The sequence below is a fragment of the Homo sapiens genome, chromosome 16 (assembly GCF_000001405.40).
Source record: "Homo sapiens chromosome 16, GRCh38.p14 Primary Assembly".
NCBI classification, from domain to species: Eukaryota; Metazoa; Chordata; class Mammalia; order Primates; family Hominidae; genus Homo; species Homo sapiens.
The window spans coordinates 32,262,121-32,284,126 of NC_000016.10; the positions used below are offsets into that span (position 1 = coordinate 32,262,121).

At 39.7% G+C, this 22,006-nt stretch overlaps 1 protein-coding gene across 1 annotated transcript; it reads right to left on the minus strand.

Annotated features, from left to right (window-relative positions):
- Positions 1–1,908: 1,908 nt before the first annotated feature.
- On the minus strand, positions 1,909–18,355 carry LOC100507221 (uncharacterized). Its single transcript, XM_035861134.1, has 5 exons — positions 18,339–18,355; positions 17,450–17,526; positions 16,633–17,353; positions 16,313–16,594; positions 1,909–2,089 (listed from the first exon to the last, which is right to left on the minus strand). The coding sequence occupies exons 3-5, from the start codon at positions 17,298–17,300 to the stop codon at positions 1,909–1,911; spliced, it is 1,131 nt and encodes a 376-aa protein (XP_035717027.1). The 5' UTR covers positions 17,301–17,353; positions 17,450–17,526; positions 18,339–18,355.
- Positions 18,356–22,006: the final 3,651 nt, after the last annotated feature.

The following is a 22,006-nucleotide window of genomic DNA, read 5'->3' on the forward strand; positions in this document are numbered from 1 at the left end:
CCCTGCCAGAGGTCACCAGGGATTGCCTGAAAACCTTCGGAAATGATGCATGCCCCTATTGCTCAAAAACTGGAAGAAGCTGCAGCCTCAGCAGGCTATCCAGGCCACTGAGTGGGGCAGCGGGCCTACACTGAGTGGACTCCTGCATTGGCAGTAGGCAGCTCTCCTGACCCATCCACCAGCTGTCTGCTTCCAGTGAGCAAGATCTTCAAGGCTGATCAGACCTCCAGTTGGCAGGGCTGATGAGATTCAGTGCGACCTGGTCAGATCTTTGGCCCAGATGAGCCACTTGAGTTTCAGTGTCCTGGGCCAACTTTCCTGGCCTTCAGAGGGCCCCTGCCAGCCTGAGTGAGCCAGGCTTGGCTGCATCTTCCTGGGAGCCCCATCTCACCTGCCCTCCATCCCCAGGACTCCTGCTCAGCACTTCTTACTTTCCCAGGACAAGCCTGGCTCCAACAGACATCTCTAGATGCTGTGTTTCTCTTTGTGGTGAGCAAAGAAACAGAATGAGTTCCATTTTTTAATTTTTTTCTAATTTTACCTATAACTTATTTATTGTAAAAAGGTTTGGGCTGCAGGAGACCTGACCCACCCACGCAGGAGGCCTCAGTAGCCTCCCAATCCACCCTGTTACTAAATATTTCCACTCCTAACAATATAGGGGGAAGCAGGAGCAAGTGCAGTTTCACTGCACCAGTGCTGTGAGGATGGGGCCAGAAGGGTCCTACCCAGTAGGATTCAATAGGAATTATATAGAAATAAACATCTCAATGTTTGTTTGGACGGATTGACATGGAGAAATTTAATTTTGATAGGTTCTAGTACACAGAAGTTAAGCTTCCTAACAGCCATGAGTTTACAGCTTCCTCTTTCTGAATTTGGCAGTGTTTTTGATGTCCAAATTGCCACGATGTCTACACATATTTACAATAGTTTATATTATTCATTTTGTATTACTAATTGTGCACTTTGGCCAACAGTGTTTCATACATCATGGTTGGTTTCCAACCTCGCTTGAAAATTGGAAGTGACAGCCCTTTATGGAATGTTGCTTTTGACACTCTTCCATTTAAGGCTCTGTGTCCCCACAGTGTTACGAAGACAAATAGTCATCACTCTTCCATTTTGAGGGGGCCAGGGTAAGCAGATGCAATTTGAGAATACAAAGTACCTTGGAAACAGAATCATCTTTCAATCAGTTTTAGTGTGAATTTCATTTACATTAGAATAGTCTGTTCATGCACTCATAAGATTTCAGGGAGGGACAATTGTCACCTTTGAAGAATCAAAGTGACCAATGGGCTTCCCTCAGTATTTTGTTTATTTGTTTCTGGAACTTAGTCATGCCATTGTAGATCGTTTCTTTTGGAATCACTGGGTGATGAGAAACCCCAGGCTGGAGAGCTGGACACCGTGGAGTCCCTGCGGGAGAAGTGTTATTAGGGTGGCCTAACTTGGAAGGCACTACAGCCTGTGGGAAAGCAGCATCCAAGATTCTCTCTGGCGTGGCCGGGTGCTGGGTGAGGTAGTCAGCCCAACAGCTTATTCTGTGTCTGGAATGGTGACTCCCAGCCTGGGCATGGCTTCAGTTTCCAGGAAACAGGCACGGGCCAGGGAGCGCCTTACCTGTTTACTGCTGCGATGTGTGGGGCCTGTATCCGCCACTGGGCACGCCACCTCTTCAAGTAGGGTCCTGTGCATTCCTTTTGGAGGCTTCAAAAGACTTTCCTCTCTGACTCCCGGCGTCTTCACCTGGACAATGTAGGATCCCAGATCTGTGTGTTTCCCAAGTGTCTATAGCGCCAGGTGCCCCATTGTGACAGGGAAGATGACCAAATTAAGTGATTAGGGCCGTTTGAAAAAAAAGCAGGAGAGATGCTGTATGGAGGAGGCCTGACATGACTGCCTCTAGCCTGCGGCTGCTTGTGCTATGCGCAGGCAGGACTGGTCTCTTCCAGGGTGATGTGATCCGCTGTGCTGAAGATTCTCACCATTTCCTTCCTTTCCCCATCGGGGCACCTGGGTAACCAGCTGAAGCAGTAGTTCCCCATCCGGAACAAAGACTGCAGACCCTCGCATGGGCTCCAGCCTGCAGGACACAAGCGTGAGCCTTGGAGGACCCCACATACCTAGGTGGTTGTGGGCTAGACCTGTGGCCTTCACTGGGTTCTTGACTCATTCCTGGAGTGTGAGGGTTTTGTTCTTTTTTAACTGGAGGTGGCAGATGACTGTCCTTCTGGACTTCCTATATGCTCACCTGACCCCTGCGGGACCTGAGATCATTGGAGTTCCCAGGTCTTTATGGTATCACGCCCCCATTGTGACAACAAGAAGGATGACCAAAAGTATGCCGGTGGTTGAGGAAGAGAAAAAAGAGGAGTGGAGTTGCAGGGAGGAGGCTCGACAAGATCACCTCCAGCCTGGGGCAGCTGGATTGGCAAGTCAGAGGCTGGCTCCTGCCTGGGCAAGACAATAAGCCATGATGAACAATGCCATTATCCTCCTTTTCAGTTGGGGGTACCTGGGCATATCTGAAAACCTTGAAAAAGTGTTTGCATTTTCAGAGCTTAAGAAAAGGAAGAAGCAGCAGCTACAGTGGGTTTTTCATGCCTTCTAGTGGCATTGAAGAACCTGCACTGAATGCCACCTGGAAAACAGCCTGGACCTGCACCTTTGGGCCGGGGCACCCATGGGAGCTCAGCCCTTGCCGCCTCAACCCTTTTTGGATTCTTTTCTCCCCAGACTGTCCCAGAGTTCAGGTCTTCTCGTCTCTTGTCTGCCCAGTGAAGGTACAAGGGTGGAAAGGTGAGGGTGTGGAGTCAGGAGCTTTGTTCCACTGCTGGGCATAGTGAGAAGTCAAAAGAGAGGTTATGATCTCATTGTGCTTGAAGGGGAGAGGCCAAAGCCTAAGACATTCTGCCTTTTTAGGGGAATTACCTTTCAAGGCTTATTTGGTCTTCACTAGCCTTTACATCTGAGGATGAAGGAGTTGAGGCTCTGTTACATGGATGTCTAAAGAGATCATAACTCTCACATTGAATGACACAGAGACTGATAGCTCTAGCACAGTACCTAGGTAATGTGACTCTCTTTTGCTACGTGTGCCCTTCCTACATAAGGAAATGTGACATACCACTGGGCCAAGCACCCAGGAAATGTGACTCTCCCGCCTGTGCCCTGCCTGTATTGGGCAATGTTGTGACACATCTCAGAGCTGAGCACCTAGGTGATGTAACTCCTTTTTTGGGAGCTGTCAATGGAAGGGATTGTGACATATGTTTGGCCAATCACCCAGATGATGTGACTCTCTTGCCTATAACTCAAATTGGGGAGAAATTATATCTTGACAATATTGAGATTTTATGTTCATGCACATTAAATGTCTTTCTATTTATTAAGATCTTCTGTGATCTTTCATGGCTCTTTCATTAGAAATTTGTAGTTTTCATTGTATATAGATCTGTGTGTCACAAAGGTCTATATGACAAAACTGAGACAAAGACAAACTGACGGATTCTTCCAGTTTTTGTGGATGGCTCTGGGCTGGGGCATTCCTTTAACACACATGCATACTGTTGAAAACTTTGCTTCAGTCTTCACTTTCTGCTGAGCTGAGCCTGAAGGTCAGCCAGTGCTGAAAATGAGGGTCTTCTTGGGTCTTTAAGAAAATGTGTTTTTCGTGGTTATGCACAGAGTGCTTTGTCAATTTGCCAGCATACCTGGGTGCTTTTTAATAGCCTAATTTGTAAAACAAAACAAAATCTCACGTTAGCTTTTTATTCTTGGCTTTATGTGACCTATTGCATGTGTCATCTGTAATCTGTTCTCCAGGGGGCTGCTGGCTTTCAGTTTCCTTAAAATACTCCCAAGTAACTCGTGCCAATTTTTTAAACTGATTTTTTTCTGACTTAGAGAAAAAAGAGAGCCTTGTTTCAGACCTTTGGATAGCCCTAATACAGATTTTAATGTAACAACACAATACTTTGCAAGTAAGACCTCCTCTTTTCCCTCTGGAACCACTGAGCAGAGGCCCATACTGGCAACTCAGGATGTTGTTTTTAAGACTGCCATCGAGTAAGGGAAGGATTTGGGCAAGGACGTGTAAAAAGTCCACGAGGCTTTTCTCCTGTTCTTCATTGTTTTTCTTGATTTTGTATTTACATGGTTGCTGTACAACTTGATGGTTTTCAACAGGTTTTACAACATCGTTTCTGACAGTTCTGCTTGTTTTTCCCTGTTTCTGTGGAGGAGCAGGTGTTTGGAGCTGTACATTCTTGCCATTTTGCTGATTTTACTCTCTCTGGGCTCTCAGTTGTACTTCGTTGATCTAAATGACTTTCCTTGTGTCATTACTACACCATCTTGATTAAGGTTGCTTTGAGGCAAATTTTGAAGTTGTAATTTGTGAGTCCTCTTATTTGGCATCTTTTTAAAGATTTTTAAAGATATTCTTAGTCCCTTTTAATTTTATATGAATTTCAGCATCAATGCTTCAGTTTTTACATGGTAGTCACCTTGAATTCTAATTGTACTGAATCTAATTGTACTGGATGTAGACTGTTTGGGGAGTTATTGTCATCATAATGTATTAAACCTACTGATTCATAAACATGGAATGGTTTCTCATTTATTTAGATCTTCAACCTCTTTCGATAAGGTTTGTAGTTTTCAGATTACAAGTTTCTTTCACATTTTTAAAAATTTATTTCTATGTATTTATTATTTAATTGCTATTGTAAATGGATTTGTTTTTGCCTCAACTGCATTATTAGATATTTCGTTGCAAGTGTATAGAAGTATAATTGATTTTTGTATAATAATTTTGTACCACTGACTTTGGTGAATACATGATCTTGGTTGCTTCCAAGTTTTGTGAAAACTACAATTAATATTACTGTAAACTTTTTTGTGCAGGTTTTTGTGTGGACTTACATTTTCAATTCATTTGAGTAAGCTAACCTTTAGGAATTTGTTTGGAGTTCAGAAGACACCACCCTGCCACATAGGATCGAGTTAAGAAAAACTCATTTTGTGCAAATCAAGTTTATGTGGGCCTATGATGAGGTTCATGGAAAAGCACTGTGTATAGTTGTGTGAATTTGAGCCCAGTGATTTATTATGTATTAATCTTGCCCTGTGTAGCAGATGTTCTAGGAGGTGCTGCAATGACTAAAACAAAACAAATAATTCTGCCCACTTGAAGCTGATATTCTAGGAAAGAATAAATATATAATACAAGTAAAATAAACAATGTGTAAGATAGTGGTTACTGCTAATGTGGGAGGAGAGTGTGGTAAAGAGAGCAGAGGTCTAAACTGGGTGTCTCTCTGAGCATTTATTTGTGTGTTTCAGCTGCTAACTCTGACAGTTAGCAAGCTTGTGTGTCTTTGTCTGCATGTATCCACCTTTACGTGCAGTGAAAAGTCTGCTTTTGTATTTATGCCTGGGTGCTATGTGTGTATTTGCTTTGAAATCACTAATACTTTTATGTTCTTGCCTAATTTCCTAGCTAACAGCTTTTTTTTACCATGTTGAATAGATGTCGTGAGAACAGACATCTTTGTCTTATTTCTGATCTTAGGTAGAAAGCATTTTGTCTTTTAACATCAAGTATGATGTTAGCTGTGGGGTTTTTATAGATGTCTTACAATATCTTTTCTATTTCCAGTTTATTTAATGTTTTTATCATGAAGAGTGTTGAAGATTTTCAAACCTTTTTACTTTGTATTTTCCCTATATTAATACCTTGCCAGATGTATTATTAGAGTATTGTTATGGAGTATGTTCTATTATTCAGAGTTGTCCTGTTACTCTATTGATAGTGTCCTCTGAGAGACAAATTCACTATTGATGAAGTCATGTATCTATTTGGTTGTTGACTGAGCTTGCATCATATGCAAGAAATTATTCCCACATCTAATGGTATGAATATTTTGCCCTATCTTTTTTTTAATAGTTGTTCAGGTTTAAGTTTTTCTTTTAGGTTTTCGATGCATTTCGATTTCATTTTGTATACAGTGTAAGGTATAAGTCCAATTTTATACTTCATTATGTGAATATCTAGTTTTCCAAGCAAATTTTTTTTTTCTGAAGACTTTCTTTTCCCACTGAATAACCCTGGCAACTTGTTAAACTATTTTATCATATATGTGAGGATACCTTTCTGGGCTCTATTTTATTTCATTTGTTTGTAGTCTCTATCCCAGTACCACACTGTTTTGAGTAACATGACTGTGAGTAACTTTTGACGTTAGGAAATTTCTCATTATGAAATTAGAGCTTTGAACATTTTTTTCTCTTTTTTTTGCGATCGTTTTGACTATTCTTGGTTCCTTGAGATTTCACTTGAATTTTAGAATGTTAGTTTCTGTTTCCATTTAAAAAAAGTTATTGGGCTTTTGATTGGGATTGCACTGCATTTATAGATAATTTTAGGAGAAATTGCCACATTAGTACTTTTAAGAGAGTTTCCAAGATGGCTTACTGGATGCAGCCAGGAAGTGTTGCTCCCAAAGAGAAAGACCACAATTTTGACTACATCAACATAGTTTGAATAGATATTTGGAGAGAAAATGCATAGTGTGGATGGAGAAAAGGTGCGTTTTCTAAGACTGAAGAGCAAGGAAGCTGGGGTGCCCTTATGGGGTGCCTGAACGCTATGACTGCTTTTTGGCCCTGAGTGGCATCTGGGGAAGAAGTGAGTAAAGGGACTGGGAGGCTGCTCACTCTCGCTGCAGACCACTGGGATCCTGGCTGCAGGAAGCTCCACACCCCCATGGACATGTGAGTTGGCAAGGAGCTCTCCCTGGAGAGTAGATGGAGATGGAGCTGTAGCAGGCACAGAGCCAGGACTTTTTATCATGGGTCAGATCTGGTGGAGCTCAACCATAAAGTCCCACCTCCGTGGCTGCCTATCTCTCTCAGAGGCTTTGGCCCCAGCTAAACTGCAGGGAGAAAGCAAGGCCTGCTTACCCGCAGGATTGGGACATGTCTATCCTGTAGGCATGCCTGTCCACCAGCCTCTTACATGGCCCCTGCCTGGCTTCCTGGGAGAAGCATGTATACATTGTAGTTTCTGCTACCCAACCTGGATGCTTGGCTCCACCTGAATGCATTCTGGCGGCCCAGAAATCCCTCAGATCCCTCACCACACTTGGAACCTGGCCCTAAGCATCAGGAAGAGGGAGTCATAAGCAAGTCGTGGCACTCCAGTGCTGTGGCCTGTGGTTCAGGAGTGCCAAGCTGGGATCTGTGCTGGGCAGTTGAATGGGGGAGGAACCCACACTCTTCAGAAACTGAGAGGCCAGATTCACACAGGTTCACAGGCTGGCGTGGGCCCTAGGCACACCTCCTTCCACAGGGCTGTTATGGTAAAGATGCAGGGTATTTTTCTAGAAGACATCTCCCTGAGGGAGCCCCACAGCTTGAAACACCTAACAACAATGACAATAATGATAATGATAGTAATAGGCCGGGCGCGGTGGCTCACGCCTGTAATCCCAGCACTTTGGGAGGAGGAGGCGGGCGGATCACGAGGTCAGGAGATCGAGACCATCCTGGATAACACGGTGAAACCCCGTCTCTACTAAAAATACAAAAAAATAGTCGGGTGTGGTGGCGGGCGCCTGTAGTCCCAGCTAGCCGGGAGGCTGAGGCAGGAGAATGGCATCAACCGAGGAGGCGGAGCTTGCAGTGAGCCGAGATCCTGCCACTGCACTCCAGTCTCTGGGCGACAGAGCGAGACTCCGTCTCAAAAAAAAAAAAAAAAAAAAGGAGATAATGATAGTAATAATAATGGGCATAGTGCCAGTGATTGGAAGTGAGTCTCTCAAGACTCATGAACAGACCTGTACCACAGAACATAGTTGCAAATAAAGAAGATACACAAAGGAACTGCATGGTAAAGAACCTATCTACATCCCACTGCTCTCAAGTGCTATCTACTGGATCGCAGTAGAGATTACACCACCAAAAATCACTTTACTAATTCTTCCCCTGTGAAACCAAGAGCAAGAATTCAACAACAAAGACACTGTACAGAGTCCTAGTCCTCTGAAAACCTTCAAAAAAAGAAAGCCAATAGACTATACTCAATTTATGCCCCAATTAGAGGTATACCAGTTCTCTCAGATGAGAAAGAATTGGCTCAAAATCTCTGGCAATGCAAAAAGCCAGAGTGTCTCCTTCAAGAGAGCCCACTAGTGCCCCAGTGATGGTTTTTAACAGTCTGAATTGTCTAAAATGACAGACATGGAAAAAAGAGCAGGGAAACTCATTTAAATTGAGAAGAAAGTTGAAACTTAACCCAAGGAAGCCAAGCAATCCGGTTAAATGATTCAAAACCTGAAAGATAAAATAGCAATCTTAAAAAATATCTAAACTAAAAAATTCTTGAGCTGAAAGATTTACTGTGAGGATTTTATAATAAAATCAGAAGTATTTCCAGCAGAATAGACTAAACTGAGAAAAGAATCTCAGAGCTCACTGTTTTATTGAATCAACATAGTCAGACAAAAATAAAGATAAAAGAATTAAGAAAAATCAACATCCCCATTGAGAAATATGAGATTACTTAGAGAACAAATCTACAATTTATCAACATTTCTGAGAGAGAAGGAAAGAGAATAGGCAAGTTGGAAAATATGTATGAAGATATAGTTCATGAAAGTACCTCTAATCTCACTAGCGAGGTTGCCATTCAAATCCAAGAGAACCCCAGTCAGCCCCTAGTCAGATACAATAATATATGACAGTCTGTATTAGTCAGTTCTCACATTGCTATAAAGAAATACTTGACACTGGGTAATTTATAATGAAAAGAAGTTTGGTTGGCTCACAGTTCTGCAGGCTGCAGCGGAAGCATGCAGCATCAGCTTGGCTTATGGGGAGCCCTCAGGAAACTAACAACCATGGCAGAAGGAAGAGGGGGGCAAGTCATCTTACATGGAAGAACAGGAGCAACACAGAGAGCGAGGAGGTGCTACCCATTCTTAAACAGCCAGATCTCATGAGAACGTTATCGCGAGACAGCACAAGGGGCTGGTGTTAAACCATTCACAAGGATCTATCCCCATTATCCAATCACCTCTCAGCAGGCCCCACCTCCAACATTGAAGATTACAGTTCCACATGTGATTGGGGCAGAATCACAGATCCAAACCATATTGCTATTTCCATGTCACATAGTCATCAGATTCACCAAAGTCAGTGCAAAAAAAAATTTAAGATCAGTTAGAGAGAAAGGGCAGGTTACTCACAGAGTGAATTCCATCAGACTAGCAGCAGACCTCTCAGCAGACTCCTTGCAACCAGAAGAGGTTAGGGGCCTATCTGCAGAGTTTTTAAAGGAAAAAAAAATTAACCAATAATTTTATATCCCTCTAAACTAAGCTTCATAGGTGAAAGAGGAAAAAAAAATTCCTTTGACAAGCAAATGCTGACGTGATACATTTAAACTAGACCAGCCTTACAAGAGGTCTTTAAGGTAGTGCTAAACATGGATTCAAGTGAATGATATCTGCTACCAAAAAAGCTCACTTAAGCACATAGCCCACAGGCACTATAAAGCAATAATGCAATCAACTCTACATAACAACCAGCTAACAACATGATGGTGAATTCAAAATCACACATATCAATACTCACCTAACATGTAAGTAAGCTAAACACCACAGTTAAAAGACACAAAGTGGCATCCTGGATAAAAAGACAGTACCCATCCATCTGTTGCTTTCAAGACACACCCTTTGCCTCAGAGTAAAAGGGTGGAGCGTATTCTACCATGCAAACGAAACAAAAACAAGCAGCAGTCACTATTCTTATATTAGATAAAACAAATTTAAACCAAAAAAAAAAAACACTAAGAGGGACAAGAAGAGCATTTTGATAAAGGGTGCAATCTAACAAGAAGCCTTAACTATCTTAAATATATATGTGATTACCACTGGAGCATCCAAATTCATAAAATGACTTCTTCTTTGCCTACCAATGAAAAGAAGAATAACAAGGGCATATTGATAAAGGATAAAATCCTGTGAGAAGCCTTAAATATCTTAAATATATATACACTTAATATTGGAGCACCCAGATTTACAAAATGACTTTTTCTTTCCCCACAAAAAGGCTTAGACAACATCACAATAGTAGTAAGAGTCTTCAACACCCTACTTACAGCATTAGACATATCACTGAGGCCAAAAAAAAAAAAAAAAAAAACTAACAGGAAAACTCTGGAGTTAAACTCCACACTTGACCAATTGGACCTAATAGACATCTATTGAAAACTCCATCGAACAACCACAGAATGTACATTTTTCTCATCTGCACAAAAAAAAATTCTAAGATCAACCACGTGCTCAGTGATAAATAAAGCCTGAATAGATTAAGGAAAAATGAAATCTCACCAAGCACACTGTTGGAGCACAGTACAATAAAAAATACAAATGCATACCAAGATCTCTCAAAACTACAGAAATACATGAAAATTAAACAACTTACTCCTGAATAAATCCTTTGTAAACATCAAAGTAAGGCAGAAATATAAAAATTACTTGAAATTGATAGAAATAGGAACACAACTTACCAAAATTTCTAAGATGCAGCCAAAGCAGTGTTAAGAGAAAACTTTATAGCCCTAAATGCCTTTATCAAGAAGTTAGAAATGTCTCAAATTAACGATGTAACTTTGCACCTAAAGGAACTTGAAAAAAAGAACCAACCAACCCCAAAGCTAGCATGAGAGAAGACATAACAGCAATTAGAGAAGAATTTAATGAAGTTGAGATGCAAAAATGTATACAACAGTCCAAGAAAACAAAAAATTGGTTCTTCAAAAAAAATTGATAAGCTCCTAGCCAAATTAACAAATATAAAAAAGAAAGAGAAGATCCAAATAAGCACAATAAAAATGACAGGTTATATTAGAATGGATCAGATAGAGATACAAAAGATCCTCAGCGAGTACTATGAACAGCTCTGCACGCAAATTAGAAAATCTGGAGAAAATGAATAAATTCCAGGAAGCACACAGTCTCCCAAGATGGAATCAGAAAGAGATCAAAACTCTAAGTAGACTAATATCAACTTCTGACATTGAGTCAGTACTAAAGAACCTACCAACAACAACAACAACAACAAAAAGGCCTGAAACAGGTAGATTGGCTGCTGAGTTTTACCAGACATACTAAGAAGAAATGATATCAATCCTACTAAAATTATTTCAAAATATCGAGGCGGTGGGGCTCCTTCCTAACTCATTCTTTGAAACCAGCAGTAGCATGATATGAAAATCTGGCAGAGACACTGTGAAAAAACAAAACTTCAGACCAAGATCCCTCATGAACAGAAAATGTAAAAATCCTCAACAAAATACTAGCAAACCAAATTCAGCACCACATCAGAAAGGTAATACACCATGGTCAAGTAGGCTTTATTCCTGGGATGCAAGCTGGTTCAACATATGCAAACCAATAAATGTGATTCACCAGCTAAATAGAATCAAAAGTAAAAACCATATGATTTTCTAAACAGATACACAAAGGTCTTCTTAATAAAATCCAACACTACTTCATGGTAAAAATCCTCAATAGACTAGGCATCCAAGGAACATACCTTAAAATAATAAGAGTCATCTATGGGAAACCCACAGTCAACATCATACTCAAAAGGTTAAAAACTTAAAACTATTTCTATGAGAACTGAAACAAGACAAGGATGCTCACTCACAGCACTCCTATTCAGCTTAGTACTGGAAGTCCTATGCAGAGCAATCAGGCAAGAGAAAGAAAAAGTAACGAAACAGGAAAAGAAGTCAAACTATCTCTCTTCGCTGAAAATATGATCCTATGCCTAGAAAATCCTAGAGATTCTGCCAGAAGGCTCCTAGAATTAATAACTTTAGTATAGTCTCAGGATACAAAATCAGTGTAAACAGTACTGATTATGGTGAAATAAGTAGCATTTCCATACACCAACAATGTCCAGGCCAAGAGTGAAATCAAGAACACAATTCCACTTAAAATAGCCACAAAAAAGAGAAATACCTAGGAATACAGATAACCAAGGAAATGAAAGATCTCTTCAAGGAGAACTACAAAACACTGCTGAAAGTCACACACCTACAACCATATGATATTTGACAAGGCTGGCAAGAACAAGCAATGGGGAAAGGACTCCCTAGTCAATACATTCTGGGATAACTGGCTTGCCATAGGCAGAAGATTGAACCTAGACCTTTACCTTGCAACATGCCCCAAAATTAAATTTAAATGGATTAAAAATTTAAGTGTAAGACCTCAAACTATAAAAATTCTGGAAGATAACCTAGGAAATACTTTTTTGACATCAGCCTTGGCAAGTCGTTTTTGGCTAAGTCCCCAAAAGCAATTGCAACCAAAACAAAAATAGACAAGTAGGACTTAATTTGACTAAATAGCTTCTGCACAGCAAAATAAACTATCAACAGGGGAAAGAGGCATCCTCCAGAATGGGAGGAGATATTCACAAACTATGAGTCTAACAAAAGCCTAATATCCAGACTCTATAGGGAACTCAAATCAACAAGCCAAAAAAAAAAAACCATTAAAAAATAAAAAATGGGCAAATGAGATGAACAGATATGCCTGAACAGAAGATATACAAGTGGCCAACAAACATGAAAAATTGCTCAGCATCAGTAATTATCAGATAAATGCAAATCAGAACCACAATGAGGTACCATCTCATGTTAGTCAGAATGGCTATTACTAAAAAGTCAATAAATAACATGTTGGCAAGGCTGTGCAGAAAAGGAAACACTTTACGTCACTGGCAGGATTGTAAATTAGTTCAGCAATCGTGGAGAGCAGTCTCGAGATTTCTGAAAGAACTTAAAACAGAACTACCAATTTACCCAGCAATCCTACAACTGGGTATATACCCAAAAGAAAATAAATCATTCTACCAAAAAGACATATGCACTTGAATGCATCACTGTGCTATTCACAATAGCAAAGATGTGGGATCAATCCAGATGCCCATCAATGGTATATTGGATAAAGAAAACCTGGTATGTATACACCATGGAATACTACACAGCTGTGAAATATAATGAAATCATGTCCTTGGTATGAACATAGGTGGAACCAGAGGCCATAATTTCAAGCAAATTAATGCAGAAACAGAAAGCCAAATACTGCATGTTCTTACTTATAAGAGCTAAACATTGAGCATATATGGACATAAATATGGGAACAGTAAACACGGTGGACTACTAAAGTGTGCAGAGGGGAGGGCAAGTTAATATACTACATATTGGTTGCTGTGCTCACTACCTATGTGCTCCAAACCTGAGCATTATACAATATTCCTACATAACAAATCTGTGCCTGTAACCCCTGAATCTAAAATAAAAGTTGAAATTTTTTAAAAAGTCTTTTCACCTATGAACAGAAGATACTGTTCCATTTATTTGTACCTTTGATTTCTTACAGCAGCATTTTGAAAGTTTTTATTGTACAAATAGTTTGTCATCCTGGTTAAATTGATTCCAGAGCATTTTATTCTTTTTAATACTGTTGTTCATGGTATTGTTTTCTTAATTTCCTTTTCAGATTAATCATTATTGGTGTGCATCAATGCAACTGAGTTTTGTAAGTTAATTTTGTATCCTGCAACATTACTTAATTTGTTTAAACTGTTTTGAGGTGTTTTTCTGTTTGTACAATCTTCAGAATTGTGTGCATACATGATTACTGTGAACAGAGATATTTCTATTTTATTCTTTTTAACATATGCATTTTTGTCTTTATTTTATTTTTGTTATTGCTTAAGCTAAAGTTTTATATACTCTGTTGAGTGGAAGTGGTAAAAAAGAGGAACTATTTTTAGTTCCTGATATTAAGGGAAAACATTTTTTGTATTTCACTGTTGATTATGTTGTGTGTTTGTACCATGAATGAGTAATATCTTGTAGAATGCTTTTTCTGTGTAAATTGAGATATTGTGGTGTTTAACAGTACTAATGCGGTATATTATGATTATTTGTTTATTTATTTATTATTTATTTATTTTTAGAGACAGGATATTATGATGTTGTTTAGACTGCTCTTGAACTCCTGGACTGAAGTGAACCTATCACCTTAGCATCCTGGGTAACTGGGATTACAGGCACAAGCCACTGTGCCTGGCTACATTTATTGATATTTATATGTTAAAGCATCTTTGCACTTCAGTAATAACTCTCAATTAGTCTTGGTAGATAACCCTCTTATTATTCTGCTAAATATATTTTGCTAATATTTATTTTATAGTTTTTATATTATTTATAAAGAACATTTTTCTTCAACTTTCTTTTCTTGTAGTGCTTTTGTTCATTTTTTATGTCACTGTAATTTTGGCCTACCTCATAGAATAAATTTGGAAGTGTTTCTGCATCTTCAGGTTTTTGCAAGAGTTTGAGGATAATTGGTAATTAATTCTTAAAATGTTTGATAGATTCAGCAGCATAACAGTTTTGTACTTTTTTTTTCTGGAGGGGTGATTTTTGCATCAATCTGCAACTATAGGTCTGTTCAGATTTTCTATTTGTTCATGACTCAGTGTCAGTACATTGTGTATTTCTACATATACATGTGTCGACTTTATCAACATTATTCAATTTCCTTGTGGTCTCTTAGAGACTTATTTAACAAGATCTGAGGCATACAGTTCTTTCAGTTGTATTCTGCTACCATGTATTTATTCTGCTGTTGATGTAGTGGTTATGTGAGAGCTTAGGCAAAGCACTCTATTGACTTATGCATTAGCCTCATTAAAACAAATCAAAACAAAACAGTGTATCCCTAGGCTGTGAATTTCATGAGGACTTCTCACTCTTTACCTCTCTTAACTGGATCAAGAAGGTTAGAGGGGGATGGAATTGGGCATTTCTCTTACTCCAGGAAGTCTGGCTCTGGTAAAATCTCAGTTGGTTAGGCTTTTGATACATAGTTTATATTGAAGATAGGAATGTTAAAAAGAAAATTTTCTGGGAATAGTTAAAAATGGCTACATTTCCCTTCCTCCTACTGGAATCAAGAAGCATTTTTTCTATCATCTTCCCTGTAAAAGCCATGTCATGTTTCTGAAAGTAAAGTTCATAAATTTGTATACCCTGAAAATGTTAATTCTCAAACTTTTAGCCATTCATCAACAATGGTTTGTTTTCTTACAACTGTATTTGTTCCCATAGGGGTTTCTTGTGGTTTACTAACCAAGTAAGTTATAATTCTCTGGATGTGTGTGTCCTTCTGTCCAATTTGGGATGGTGATTTGCCCTGTGAACTTATTTTTCTGATACATGTTAGGAGAATTGCTGGCCTATGTTTCCCTTTTTACTTTCGCTGATGCGAATGTCACCTTCTACGTCCTTACTTGCCAGGCTGACCAAAAGGAACTATCTTCATTTTTTGATGGTTGTCTCTATTTTTAATCCTAAACCGTGTGTGTGTGTGTGTGTGTGTGTGTGTGTGTGTGTGTGTATAAAATAATACAGTAAGAGGAAACCTGGGTGGTCCCTTTTCTGGTACCAGCAGCAGATTGAAACCATTCAAACCCCTGTCCATGGGAATAAATTCTCACCCTAGCATGCCACCTACCCTCAATAAAAATCCAGGCCTGGCTCCTTTTCTTGCACATTCAAGCCATGTCAGATCACCTTGAAAGGCCTTCCTACTTACCTCACAAATGTAATTTATGTGAGTAGTAATTTCTTACCCTCTTAAAGCCACATCTTTGCAAGTGACTAACAATTGGTGCCATGAGCAGACTGTTCAGACATTGCCCACCAACCTGAGGATCTGTCTTCTCTTGCTAAGTTGCTCTGCTGCTTAATGTCTGGCATGTACTTTGACCTGCTGCTTCCGGAGGAGTTAGTGCTTTGAGCTGTGCCGCTCTGTTTATTGTTCTGCCAAATTTGTGAACTAAAAACTCAGACTTCCACATTACAGGGGGAAATGACACAAATCGTGGGGTTTGATTCAAACATAATAAATCTTTAAATTTTTATCATGCAATATAGTCACAAACGAATGAATAAAACATTTATCATAAGTTTTAGTGATAATAATGAAAACATTCTTAGAATCATCAAGATTTATTACATATATTTATAATATATATAATTAATATATAATATATAAATATATTTTATTATATATATTTATAATATATAATATATTATATAATATAAATATATATAATAAAATATATATTATATATATTAATTATATTTATATATATAATTATATATATAAATATATATATTTATAATATTTTATATATATATATTTTTTGCCCCCGCCGCCGCATATTTTTGCCCCCGACGCCGAGGCTTTTTGCGGCTTTTTGCCCCCGCCGCCGCCCCTTTTTGCCGCCGCAGATTTTTGCTCCCGCCACCGCGGCTTCTTGCCCCCGCCGCCGCGGCTTTTTGCGGCTTTTTGCCCCTGCGGCATTTTGCTCCCGCCGCCGCCGGTTTTTGCCGCCGTGGCTTTTTGCCCCCGCCACCGAGGCTTTTTGTCCCCGCCGCCCCAGCTTTTTGCCCCCGCCGCCGCCGCTTTTTGCCACCGCTGCCGCGGCTCTGAGGGCGGGAGCAGCACACTCGGCTGCCGGCTCTACCGGCGTCCTTGTTCAGGCGGCGCCGGGGGGCGCTCCTGGTCCAGCTCTCCCGGCTCGGGGGTTCCTTGCCTAGGCGCCCGCGCCCCGGGCTCCCCGCCTTGGCCGCTGCGGCCTGCATAGAGCGGCGCTGCGCGTAGCGGCCAGGGGAGAGAAGAAGGAGGGCGGTGGCGGGGGTGATGTGGCGGCCTCTTTGGGAGGCGCAGGGGCCGCAGCCAGCCAGACGCTGCAGCAGTGTGGGCAGCTCCAGAAGCTTGTGGGCAGCTCCAGAAGCTTATCCGCATCTCCATTGGCAGCCTGCGCCGGTTGCGCAACAAGTGCGCTGTGTCCAAGGACCTCACCCAGCAGGAGATACGGACCCTGGAGGTAAGGGGGTCGTGGACCCAGGCTGGGCTCGAGGAGCGGCCCAGACACCTCCCTCCGTGCCCAAGTTCACTCCTGGCCGAGTTGCATCCTTGAGCCCCAGTCGCCCCGTTGGAGGCTTCCCCTCCCTCCTGCACTCGCTGATGCGGCAGCCGGAGGACCCGGGACCAGCCCTCACCTTGGGCAGGATCTGTGGGGCGGGTGCGTCGTGGGAACTGGCAGGGAGGCTTGAGGGGCCCATGGGCGAGGTGGGCTGCGAGCGGACATCCCCTTACCCCCTGAATTTCCATCTGGTCCAGCCCTCTCATCTTGTGGGTGAGGAAACCGAAGGCCTGAGGGAGAACTGACTTGCCTGGAACCCCTGTTAAGGAGAATTAACAAAGTGTGGTTATTAAAGGAGCACTGAGTTGGGAGTGAGACCTGGAGGCCCACACCCTTGGTTAAGACATAATACCACCTTGAGTCTGGCCTGTTGACTGAGGGTGAGCCACTCCATCCTCATCTGATTGTGGGGTCTTGACCTCAAGGGGTTGCCTGAAGGAAGAAGCACATGGGTTTGCTTTCCTAGCTCTGTCCAGTACCTTAGGGACCCTGAGGACTGGAGAGATTCTTGGAGAGCCATCTGGTGTATATCATGGGTGGGCCTTTTTTGAAGGTCAGTCTGCCCAGTGGGCTGGCTCAGCCCCAATGAACTGTCTTGAATCTTTGGAGTTGTCTGGGTACTTTTAAGGGCTTCTCATCCTTGCACCAAAAGATCCCCTGGAAATTAGGTGGGAAAACCTTAACTTTTGTGGGGCCTTGTGTTTGTCTTAAAAGTTCATGCACATGGCCAGATGTGGTGGCTCACACCTGTTATCCTGTCCTGGATCCCTTGAGTCAAGGAGTTTGAGACTAACCTGGACAATATAGTGAGACCCTGTCTCTACAAAAAATAAAATATTAGCCAGGGGTGGTTGTGCACATCTGTAGTCCCAGCTACTACTGTGGCTGAGGTGGGAGGAGCACTTGAGCCTGCACTGAGCTGTGATCTCACCAGTGTACTCCAGCCTGGGCCACAGAGCAAGACCCTGACTCAAAAAAAAAAAACCAACAAGAAAAATACTTGAAGATTTTTGCATTCTGTCCCACTACCCATTGGTTGTCATGTGAAGATAATGTCAGAAATTCTTTACAATTGCTTCCAGAAGGAGTAGCCTTTTGATCTAGTGCACAGGTGTCTTTTGGCTTCTCAGGGTCACATTGGAAGAAGAATGCTCCTGGGCCACATATAAAATACACTAATGCTAACGATAGCTGATGAGCTTAAAAAAAAAAAAAGGTTTGTGCATAATTTTCATGATACCCACCACCACAGATAGGTGGAAAAGTCCTTGTAGTCAAAGGGTTGGACGCGGCTGACCTAGTGTCTTGTCATCCGTTTTGGCTTCCTCCCTGATTCCAGAATGCAGGTATAGATGTAGAGACGTGCTCTCAGGACAGCTGTTGAGATAAAAAATTCTTTGTCATTTATTCCCAAGCACAGCTGTTTGTCATTTGCATTGAAAAAGTCTCCATTCAAACTGCTGTCACATATAAAATCTATTTATGTAAGTCTGTATTTTTCTGTAGTCTTGGCCTTTTGGGCAGTAGTGTGTTTTAACCGAGCAAACTGTCCTTCCAAATAATGAAGTCGAAGTCAGCCTACCTGCTTGCCATTTTTCTTCCCCTTCCATTTTTCTAACTTCAGGATAATTGTAAGAATGAATTAAACTTTATGTTGAAGGCCGGGCACAGTGTCTCAGGCCTGTAATCCCAGCACTTTGGGAGGCGGAGAGGGATGTATCACTTGAGCTCAGGAGTTGAAGACCAGCCTGGGCAACATACTGAGACTCCGTCTTGTATAATTAAATTAAAATGTTTAAAAAGAAGAGAAAAAGACCTGTGTTTAAATTTTAAAAAAGGGGAAATTGTAATGCAAAATGTGGACTATGCCAGCTATGATTGGGAAAAATAATTTTTCCTACAGCATTATCTGTAGACTTGTATTAGCAGCATACTGGTCATAAGCGTTTTGCTTTCCTCAAACATGATGAGGTAAGCTACTTTAAAGTGTGGTAGGGCTGTCTTCCACGTGGCTCCTGGTGGTGTTGAGTCCCAATTTAGCCAATTAATTTGGGTTTAGTTTTGATGTGGATAAGGGAGACCAGCTTCATTCATGGTGCACACACAGTTTTGCCAATAAGGGAAAAAAAAAGCAACCTGAATGTTCCTACTCATTAGATGCTATCTGGAGAGCTCCTACCCCACCCCCACCAAGGCCCAGACCCTTAAAAAGACTCAGTGCAGCCTTTCTGTATCTCATACTGTATTCTGCAAGATGCTCCTGTGAAAGAAAGTTGTGCTGCATCAGCCGTCTCCCTCCTGAAGATCCCTGCGGATGAGGATTTGTGTTTTAAAGGTTCTGAGAAGTCCTGCAATGACAGTCCTCAAACTTATTTGTCCAGGGGATCTTTTCTTCCACTGAACGTAGTTGGGGAGACACGGCCTTAAGCCTTGAGCAGAGAAAGAGACAAGAAGCTGTTGGCTCACTTACAACCAAGTGTTGTGTTTATGTGTTAGGTTTTCATGAAAGTGAGGTGCTGTTTGAGGTTCTAAATCAAATTGGGTGGTTGAGGAGAGCCTGGTATCCCTGTAGACTTAGCCAGCCATGAGAGGTTGCCTTTTGTTGAAGGAGGTATTTTACAAAGGGAAGTAGGATGTCTCCTGGGCATCACATTAGCACTTAAATATATGTATCACTGAAATGAAATGAAATGATGAAATGAAATGATGAAATGGTGAAATGAAATAATGAAATGAAAGGAAATGATGAAATGAAGAAATGAACTGATGAAATGAAATGATAAAATGATGAAATGAAATGAAATGATGAGATGAATTGAAATGGTGAAATGATGAAATTAAATGATGAAATGATGAAATGATGAAATGAAATGATGAAATGATGAAATGATGAAATGAAATGATGAAATGATGAAATGGAATGATGAAATGATGAAATGGTGAAATGAGATGAGGAAATGAAATGACGAAGTGAAATGATGAAATGAAATGAAATGATAAAATGATGAAATGAAATGAAAAGATGAAATGATGAAGAAATATGAAATGATGAAATGAAATGAGGAAATGAAGTGAAATGATGAAATGATGAAATAATAAAATGAAATGAAATGATGAATTGATGAAATGAAATGATGAAATGAAATGATGAGATGAAAAGATGAAATGAAATGATTAAATGAAATGATGAGATGGAAAGATGAAACGAAATGATGAGATGAAATGATGAGATGAAATGATGAAGTGAGGAGATGAAGTGAAATGATGAAATGAAATGATGAAATGATGAAGTGAAATGATGACATGAAATGATGAAATGAAATAATGAAAGGATGAAATGATGAGATGAAATGATGAAAGGAAATGAAATGAAATGATGAAATGAGGAAATGAAATGAAATGATGAAGTGAAATGATGAAATAATGAAACTAAATGAAAAGATGAAATGATGAAATGAAATGATGAAATGATATGAAATGATGAAATAAAGTGAAATGATGAAATGATGAAATGAAATTAAAAGAAATGATAAAATGAAATGATGAAATTATATGAAATAATGAAATGATGAAGTGAAGTGAAATGATGAAATGATGAAATGATGAAATAATGAAATGAAATGAAATGATAAATTGATGAATTGATAAAATGAAATGAAATGAAATGACGAGATGAAAAGATGAAATGAAATGATGAAATGAAATGACGAGATGAAAAGATGAAATGATGAGATGAAATGAAATGACTAGATGAAATCATGAGATGAAATGGTGTAATGATGAGATGAAGTGAAATGATGAGATGAAATGAAATCATGAGATGAAATGATGAAATGATGAAATGAATGAAATGAAATGAGATGAAATGATGAGATGAAATGATGAAATGAAAGGAAATGATGAAATGATGAAACAAAATGAAATGAAGAAATGAAATGATGAAAGGAAATGATAAAATGATGAAATGAGATGAAATGTAATGGTGAAATGAGGAAATGAAATGAAATGATGAAATGAAATGATGAGATGAAATGAAATGAAATGATGAAATGGTGAAATGGAATGATGAAATGATGAAATGATGAAGTGATGAAATGGTGCAATGAAATGAGGAAATGAAATGAAGAAATGAAATGATGAAGTGAAATGATGAAATGAAATGAAATGATGAAATGATGAAATGAAATGAAAAGATGAAATGAAGAAATGATACGAAATGATGAAATGAAATGAAGTGAAATGAAATGATGAAATGATGAAATGAAATGATGAGATGAAAAGATAAAATGAAATAAAATGATTAAGTGAGATGACGAGATGAAAAGATGAAATGAAATGATATGAAATGAAATGATGAGATGAAATGAAATCATGAGATAAAATGATGAAATGATGAGATGAAGTGAAATGATGAAATGAAATGATGAGATGAAATGATGAGATGAAATAATGAAATGAAAGAATGAAATGAAAGGATGAAATGATGAGATGAAATGAAAGGATGAAATGAAATGATGAAATGAGGAAATGAAATGATGAAACGAAATGATGAAGTGGAATGATGAAATTATGAAATGAAATTAAAAGATGAAATGATGAAATGATATGAAATGAAATGAAATGATGAAATGAAGTGAAATGATGAAATTAAATGATGAAATGAAATGATGAAATAAATGAACTGAAATGATGATGAAATGAAATGATGAAATGAAATGACGAGATGAAAAGACAAAATGAAATGAAATGATGAAATGACGAGATGAAAACATGAAATGATGGGATGTAATGAAATGATGAGATGAAATCATGAGATGAAATGATGAGATGAAGTGAAATGATGAGATGAAATGAAATCATGAGATGAAATGAAATGATGAAATGCAATGATGAAATGAATGAAATGAAATGA